The 8,720-nt window shown below is 43.6% G+C and overlaps 1 long non-coding RNA gene across 2 annotated transcripts in view, besides 1 other annotated feature; it reads left to right on the forward strand.

The window, feature by feature from the left end:
* GPR84-AS1 (GPR84, ZNF385A, ITGA5 and GTSF1 antisense RNA 1) overlaps positions 1-8,720 on the forward strand; it is a 113,340-nt gene that overhangs the window by 92,192 nt on the left and 12,428 nt on the right. The gene's annotated exons all lie outside the window — the stretch shown is intronic.
* Positions 2,559-2,759: a silencer, noted in NCBI's record as "peak1738 fragment used in MPRA reporter construct". NCBI's record gives its function as "represses an SCP1 promoter by STARR-seq MPRAs in K562 erythroleukemia cells {active_cell/tissue: K562}" and the evidence as "EXISTENCE:reporter gene assay evidence [ECO:0000049][PMID:32103011]".

Here is an 8,720-nt window from a genome sequence, read left to right on the forward strand (position 1 = left end):
TGTTGGGATTACCAACATGAGCCACCATGCCCGGCCTGCTATTTACTATTACTGGGTAAATTAAGAACAATTAAATATCATGAAAGTTGTGCTATGGCAGGTGGAAGATAAACTGAATGAGGAAAACCTAGTGGCTAAAAGACTAGCTGCTGCAATAGTTCGGGCAAAGGTAATGATCTGAAATAGAGTAGTGGTGATGGAGATGCAACGAACTGGTTGGCTTCGGAAGTCATCTTTGGTATTTAAATGCCAGGATTTGGTGGCTAATTGAATGTGAGGGAATTCTGAAAAGACTGAGAGAACAGTAACATCATTAATCTGGATTAGTCATGTACAAGGAAGGGCGAGTCTAGGTGACAGCTGAAGCTCTAATTCCCTTCAAGTCCAAGGCCCCTTTGAGGAAGATGGCTCCAAGTAATTCATTTTTTTTGAGACTGATCTCCTTGCTCTGTCGCCCAGGCTGGAGTGCAGTCGCATGATCTGAGCTCACCGCAACTTCTGCCTCCTGGGTTCAAGTGATTTTCCTGTCTCAGCCTCTCGAGTAGCTGGGATTACAGGCGGGCACCATCATGCCTGGCTAATTTTTGCACTTTTTAGTAGAGATGGGGTTTCACCATGTTGGCCAGGCTGGTCTTGAACTCCTGACCTCAAGTGGTCCACCTGCCTCGGCCTCCCAAAGTGTTGGGATTACAGGCGTGAGCCACTGCGCCCAGTGCCCCAGCTAATTCTTTCATGAACAACATTGATATGACCACTATCACAAGCATCACAAGAAACAATCTGCTACTGTTGAATGCTTCAGGGAGCAGGACTAAAACGGACCACTGGTCCTGCAAATAGGGGATTGGGTGGTGATGATGGTAATAGAGTGGCCAGATTGCAATGGATTAAGGAGTAAGTGGGAATTTAAGACCAGGTATAGACAACTCTTTCAAAAAACTTGGCACCGAAGTCGTAATTGCTTCAGTGGGAGTGTGAAGGATTTTATGTATTTGTTTGGTCAGAATGCACACTCTTCTAGTGTGCAGAAGCTGGAAAGCTAAAGACTAAATTTCCCACATTCTCTTCTAGCTAGCTATCTTAAATCACTTCTGAATTAAGTTCTGCTAATCAGATGCACTAGTGTTTCACTTGGATTCTGAAGCCAGCAGGGGTTAAGACGGGGTGCAGGGCATCCATTTAGGGATGCTGACAGTGGCAGAGGTGGTTACTTCTTGGACTAGCAGCTGCAATGGCAGCTTCCTAACTATTGTAGAAGCTTCTTGAATGTAGTAGAAGCTTCCTAAATATAGTAGAAGCGGTAGCAGCTCCTTTAGCAGTCTTTTTTTTTTTTTTGAGACGGAGTTTCACTCTGTTGTCCAGGCTGGAGTGCAGCTCACTGCAACCTCTACCTCCTGGGTTCAAGCAATTCTCATGTCTCAGCCTCCTGAGTAGCTGGGATTACAGGCACCCACCACCACGCCTGGATAATTTTTGTGTATTTTTCGTAGAGACGGGGCTTCACCGTGTTGGTCAGGCTGGTCTTGAACTCCTGACCTCAGGTGATCCACTTGCCTCGGCCTCCCAAAGTGCTGGGATTACAGGTGTGAGCCACCGTGCCCGGCCTGATTAGCAGTTTCTTTTTTGAGGCAGGATCTCACTCTCTCACCCAGGCTGGAGTGCAGTAGTAAGATCTCGGTTTACTGAAACCTCCGTTTCCTGAGCTCAGGCAATCCTTCCATTTCAGCCTCTTGAGTAGCTGGGACTGCAGGCGCATGCCACCATACCCCAGCTAATTTTTGTATTTTTAGTGGAGACAGGGTTTCACTATGTTGCCCAGGTTGGTCTCCAACTCCTGGGCTCAAGCAATTTGCCCACCTTGGCCTCCCAAAGTGCTGGTATTACAGGTGTGAGCCACCACGACTGGCCTCCCTTAGCAGTCTTTAGGAATCATTTCTGGAAGTCCAGTCTAGAGTTTGTTTCTTCAGCCTTCCCCAGAATTCTGTGATCCATCCATTTGATGCCCTAGTAATAAGTCCTTTACTGCTTAATCTAGCTAGAATCGATTCTGTTCTCTGCAACCAAACCCTGATTAATATGGAGAACAGGGTATATATTTTAAAAAATAAACATAAACATTTTCATAGCTGAAAGAGTTAAGGAAAGAGTAGAGTTAATTTAAAGAGAAGAGGGTTGGGTATGGTGGCTCACACCTGTAATCCCAACACTCTGGGAGGCTGAGATGGGAGGATCACGTGAGGCCAGGAGTTTGAGACCAGCCTGGGCAACATAGTGAGATCCCATCTCTACCAAAAAAAAAAAAGAAAAAAAAAAAAGAAAGAAAGACCAGTCATGGAAGGTGGGAAGATTGCTTGAGCCCAGGAGTTTGAGGTTGCAATGAAGTATGATAGCACCCCTACACTCCAGCCTGGGTGACAGAGTGTGGCCCTATCTCAAAGAAAAAAAAGCTAAAGAGGAGAGAGGAATTGACTTATGGAAGATATTGGAGGATAGGAGAAGCTCAGTGTAGTAGACTGCCTTCAAGACAGCCCCCCATTGATTCTTGCCTCCTGGCATTCATGTTCCTGTAAAGTCCCCTCCCACAATGAAAAGGGCTCACCAGTGTAACCAAAAGCATATTGTGAAATGATGTAGCGTGACTTCTGAAGTTAGGTCATAAAATAATTTACAGCTTCCACCTTGCTCTTAAATTGCCCACCATGGGGGAAGTCAGTTGACATGTTGTAAGGATACTCGCAGGCTTTGTAGAGTCCCGCATGGGGAGCAACTGAGGCCTTGAATTGCCAGGCATGTAAGTGAGCCACTTAAGAAGCAAATCGTCCCACCTCAGTCAAGTCTTCAGAAATGGCAGCCCTGGCTGACTCTTTCTGTTTTTTTTTAGACAGAGTCTCGCTCTGTCGCCCAGGCTGGAGTGCAGTGGTACGATCTCAGCTCACTGCAACCTCCACCTCCTGGGTTCAAGCAATTCTTCTGCCTCAGCCTCCCAAGTGGCTGGGATTACAGGTGCATGCCACTATCCCTGGCCAGTTTTTGTATTTTTAGTAGAGACAGGGTCTCACCATGTTGGCCAGGCTAGTCTCAAACTCCTGACCTCAAGTGATCTGCCCACTTTGGCCTCCCAAAGTGCTGGGATGCGCGATTACAGGTGTGAGCCACTGTGCCCAGCCCTGGCTGACTCTTGACTGCATCTACATGAAAGACCCCAAACCAGGATTACTCAGCTAAGTAACTCCCAAATTCCTTATCCACAGACATTATGAGAGTAATGTTTATTATTGTTTTAATACACTATGTTTTGGGGAAATTGGTTATGTAGCAATAGATAATACAATGTGATGCAGTACAAAGTTCACAGACAAAGTTAGCCTTGTAGAGGAAGTATACTTTTTTTTTTTTTTGAGACAGTCTTGCTCTGTTGCCCAGGCTGCAGTGCAGTGGCACCATCTTGGCTCACTGCAACCTCTGCCTTCCAGGTTCAAGCGATTCTCCTGCCTCAACCTCCCAAATAGCTGGGATTACAGGCATGCACCACCACGCCTAGCTAATTTTTTGTATTTTTAGTAGAGATGGGGGTCTCACTATGTTGGCCAGGCTGGTCTCGAACTCCTGACCTCAAGTGATCCGCCTGCCTTGGCCTCCCAAAGTGCTAGGATTACAGTCGTGAGCAACCGTGCCCAGCCAGAAGTATACTGAGATAAAGGAAAAAGAGGTGCTATAAGAGTTAAAGAGTAAGTTAAGGTCAATGACCAGTACCTTCTCAAGGAAATCAAGACCAGGTGTGGTGGCTCATGCCTGTAATCCCAGTACTTTGGGAGGCTGAGGTTGAGGATCATTTGAGGTCAGGAGTTTGAGACTAGCCTGGGCAATATACTAAGACCACATCTCTAAAAATTCTTTTTAAAAAGTAGCTGAGTATGGTGGCACACACCTGTAGCTCTAGCTACTTGGGAGGATGGCTTGAGCCCAGGAGTTCAAAAAAGTTGGAGGTAAAGTCAATGTCATCTCCTGATAGTGGAGGATGGAAAGTAGGGACTACGAAGTTGAGAATAGTAAAAGGGCTGCAACGGCCACCAGGTAAATCTGAAAGTCAAACAGGAATGAGTGCCCGAGTTTAGAAATCTGTATCTGCAGTGGAGTTAGGTGGCATAGTTATATGATTTTCTGTAACTATGCTTGATAACCTAGCAGGAATAGAGTAAAAGATGGTGGGCTTCTCTCAACTTGGGAATTGGTAAAGCAGAGACAGAACAATAGCGGGGGTTAAGGATGCTGGTTTAGGCTACTGAAGTACTGGATCATGGAGTCTAAACTGGCAGATGTGGAAATGAGTTCAGGAGGAAACTCATAGCCTGAGAGAATGAGAAGTTGAGTGTAGAATCAATATTTAGGGAAGAATCGTATAAAAGCAGTAAATTAGAAATCTGAAGTCCCAGGTTATGGTCATAGCTCACTACTAACAAGCTGTGCAAGGATCAAATTTTCAGGGCCTGTTTTTTTTTCCCTCCTGGGTTAAAATACATAAAATGCTAAGTAAGAACAGTAACTTGCCTATAGTAAGAACTTTGCAACTCTTTTAACAATTATTCTTAAGTGTTTTAAAATTATATAGTATTTAATACACACTTGTGAAGCATAATAAACACCAACAAACTCACCATCCAACTTACCAACAGACTACTACTAATATCCTGTGTTTCTTCCTGGTCCCCTCATCCTGGCCTCTTCCCTAGGGATTACCACTATATTGAACTTTGTGTTTATCGTTCTATTTCCTTTTAAAAAACTGTCATGTTTCACACTTGTATAGGGCCTGTTTCTTCATGTGTAAGATGAAGCTTTGGATCAGGTACTCTCTAAGCTCCCTTTCAGTTTTTTTTTTTTTTTTTTTTTGAGATGGAGTCTGGCTCTGTCGCCCAGGCTGGAGTGCAGTGGTGTGATCTCAGCTCACTGCAAGCTCTGCCTCCCGGGTTCACGCCATTCCCTGCCTCAGCCTCCTGAGTAGCTGGGACTACAGGCACCCACCACCACGCCCGGCTAATTTTTTGTATTTTTAGTAGAGACGGGGTTTCACCGTGTTAGCCAGGATGGTCTCGATCTCCTGACCTCGTGATCCGCCCGCCTTGGCCTCCCAAAGTGCTAGGATTACAGGTGTGAGCCATTGCACCCAGCATTTTTTTTTTTTTTTTAAGACAGAGTCTTGCTCTGTTGCCCAGGATGGAGTGCAGGGGTGTGATCTCAGCTCACTGTAATCTTCAGCTCCTGGGTTTCAGCAATTCTCCTGCCTCAGCCTTCCGAGTAGCTGGAATTACAGGAGTTTGCCACCATGGCTAATTTTTGTATTTTTAATAGAGACAGGGTTTCGCCTTGTTGGCCAAGCTGGTCTCGAACTCCTAACCTCAAGTGATCCACCTGCCTCAGCCTCCCAAAGTGCTGGGATTACAGGCATGAGCCACCACGCCCAGCCCCTTTCAGCTCTATATGGGATACAATAGGTGGATATCAAATTTACATACCTAGTGGGAACCATGTGAATGCTTATTTTTGCAGGGTTTTATAAAGCTAAAACAGACTCCTTTGTCGAAATCTGCAGTTCAACAAAAGGATATCTCAGTGGAGCTTCTAATTTCAAGAACAAGACTTTCAATTCCTTTCAATTTGCATCTCTACTATAAAGATCTACTCTAGAGAAAACTAACACAAGGAGCTAAATCTAAGCCCCAGACCCTGTCCAATGAAAACATATGATTTTCTGTAACTATGCTTGATAACCTAGAAGGAACAGAGTAAAACATGGTGGGCTTCACTTAACTTGGGAATTGGTAAAGCAGAGACAGTAGAACAATAGGGGCGGGGGTCAAGGGGATTCAGGATGCTGGTCTGAGGCAACAACTGAAACAGACAAACTTGAAAAAACTTACTTTATTTCAGTGACAAGTATTTTAATAAAAATTAAGAGGCATGGTTGGGTTCATAAGCAGTGGTTTTCAATAAACCTGATTTCCTCCTTACATATATAAAACAACTAAACTTGTCTTCTATAGGTTTCCTCAAAGTCTCTTACACTATTTTAGTTTCATATAAACCAGTCTTTAAGGTAAATACCAATGCAAATCTGTTGACCAAATAGCTGTTCTTTGGGTTACTGTTTAGGATGCTGTTCTTCCTAGCTACAAACAATCCTATATTTCATTTTTGTCTGACCTGTTAACAAGTTTATGAGTTAAATGAGTTGGATCAGGCAGTGAATTGCTGTGTAAAAGGCAAATGCCCTGTTCATACACAGGTTTGCATTTATCAGACCTTAGTGTGGCTGGAATGGAAAGTCAGCTGAGGGGTAGTATGAGGTAACAGGTTAGTGTGTTTTCAGTGATCTCTGAAGAGGCCAACACTGTAAAGTAGGATGTAAATATGTTCTGAACCTTAACAGTATCAGGAAGACAGTGGTCAAAGGAATGAGCAGTTGTTATAGTATTTTTGCATGAAATTTAGGTAGTTTTTCCTTATTCTACCATTGAACTGGCACATGAAAATGCGTATTTTCCTAGATGTCTAAGGCCAGTCCAGTTTTAATCATTTAAAATACAGTATATAAATTGCTTTAATTTTTACAACTTGCTTCTTTAAAAATGGTAAAAATAAGTATAATATTATCTCCTCAGTTTTTGCCTATTTTGGAGTTTAATATGAATTGTGAAAAGTACAACTAAAGGAATACAAGAATGCCAGTACAGTATATACTGTACATTTTGTCTGAGAGACAAACACAAGCAGCTACTGTTCTGCCTTACCAATGAAAGGGCATTATTTGAAATTAAGTCCAAATACTCTCCTTGTTTAGCTCAGGTACAACTACCAGGAGAGCTAAGCATCACTTATCACCTACATTTGTTTTTTCCTGGTGAGAGCATTTGCAAATCACAATGGCACTTGTAGAACCCCTATGGAGAAAGGCAATCTTCCAAAAAGCAAATCCTCTCCTTGGGTAGAGTGTGGAAACCCTGGAGGAGACTAAAATGCAGGACTCAAAGCTTAGATCTCTCTGGGCTAAGCTTTTGAAATACCTCTGCATTTAACCTTTAACCATAACACTTGACTTTAGCTGAAACTGAGGCAGAATATTCAACTGTTTACCTTCCACTGTTCACATTCCAAAGGAAGGGTATCCTTTGAAAAGGAAGGTCCCAAAGATAAGCAAGCTTTCCCTCCCAAGAACCATTTCTTTTTTTCTTTTTTCCTTTTTCTTTTAGATGGGAGTCTCACTCTGTCACCCAGGCTGGAGTGTAGTGGCATGATCTAGGCTCATTGCAATCTCTGCCTCCCGGGTTCAAGTGATTCTACTTCCTCAGACTCCCAAGTAGCTGGGATTACAGGTGCCCGCCACCACACTTGGCTAATTTTTTTTGTATTTTTAGTATAGACGGGGTTTTGCCATGTTGGCCAGGCTGGTCTCGAACTCCTGACCTCAAGTGATCTACCCGCCTTGGCCTCCCAAAGTGCTGGGATTACAGGTATGAGCCACTGCGTCTGGCCTAAGAACTGTTTCTTTTTACTAGTTTTTGGGGATCTCCAAAAATTTCCTGCCAATTAAATCTAGGTTAGTGAATCCTAGGCCTTAAAAGCTTGTGACCAGACAATTTGGTGGCTTTAATCATTAGTTTACTAAAGAAACAGAACTGGCTGGGCACGGTGGCTCAAGCCTGTAATCCCAGCACTTTGGGAGGCCGAGGTGGGTGGATCATGAGGTCGGGAGATCGAGACCATCCTGGCCAACATGGTGAAACCCTGTCTCTACTAAAAACACAAAAATTAGCCAGGTGTGGTGGCGGGTGCCTGTAGTCCCAGCTATTCGGGAGCCTGAGGCAGAAGAATTGCTTGAACCAGGGAGTTGAAGGTTGCGGTGAGCCAAGATCGCGCCACTGCACTCCAGCCTGGAGACAGAGCAAGACTCCATCTCAAAAAGAAAAAAAAAAAAAAGAAACAGAACTATTTTGTGAGCTAACAAAATCAACACAGGCAGGCATTCTCCTGTAGTGAGTGCTACTCACACTCCAAAAGGTCAGATGTTTTGTGATTATGTCCTAGTAGTCATGAGCAAAGAGATGTCCTCCTAAAATAACAAAATATTTTTCATGAATGATAGATGTTAGCTTACCTTGACCCTTTAAATAGTTAAGAAGCACAAAGTAACTATTTTCTTTTTTTTCCTTTTTTGAGACAGAATCTCGCCCTGTTGCCCAGGCTGGAGTGCAGTGATGCGATCTTGGCTCACTGCAACCTCCAGCTCCTGGGTTCAAGCGATGCTCATGCCTCAGCCTCCTGAGTAGCTGGGACCACAGGCACGCACCCTCATGCTGGCTAACTTTTTGCCATTTTTAGTAGAGATCAGGTTTCATTATGTTGCCAGGCTGGTCTCAAACTCCTGGCCTCAAGTGATCCACCCACCTTGGCCTCCCAAAGTGCTGGGATTACAGGCATAAGACACTGAGCCCCATGAATAAATTAATTTCTATTTAATTCCTTTGTTGAGTTGTATTTGAGTAGCTCTTTGCAATGAAACTCATATTACTTGTTTTTCCTAAACTAGGTAGGAGTTCTAGGTTCTAAGTGCAGTATAGACAGTTTTGTTTTGTCATCACCAAAATAAAATAAAAAAGTGTTTTGTATTTATCAGTAATATGACTTCTTTAAAATAAAGTTGTTGTGAGGTACTGATATACAAA

The sequence above is a fragment of the Homo sapiens genome, chromosome 12 (genome assembly GCF_000001405.40).
Source record: "Homo sapiens chromosome 12, GRCh38.p14 Primary Assembly".
NCBI classification, from domain to species: Eukaryota; Metazoa; Chordata; class Mammalia; order Primates; family Hominidae; genus Homo; species Homo sapiens.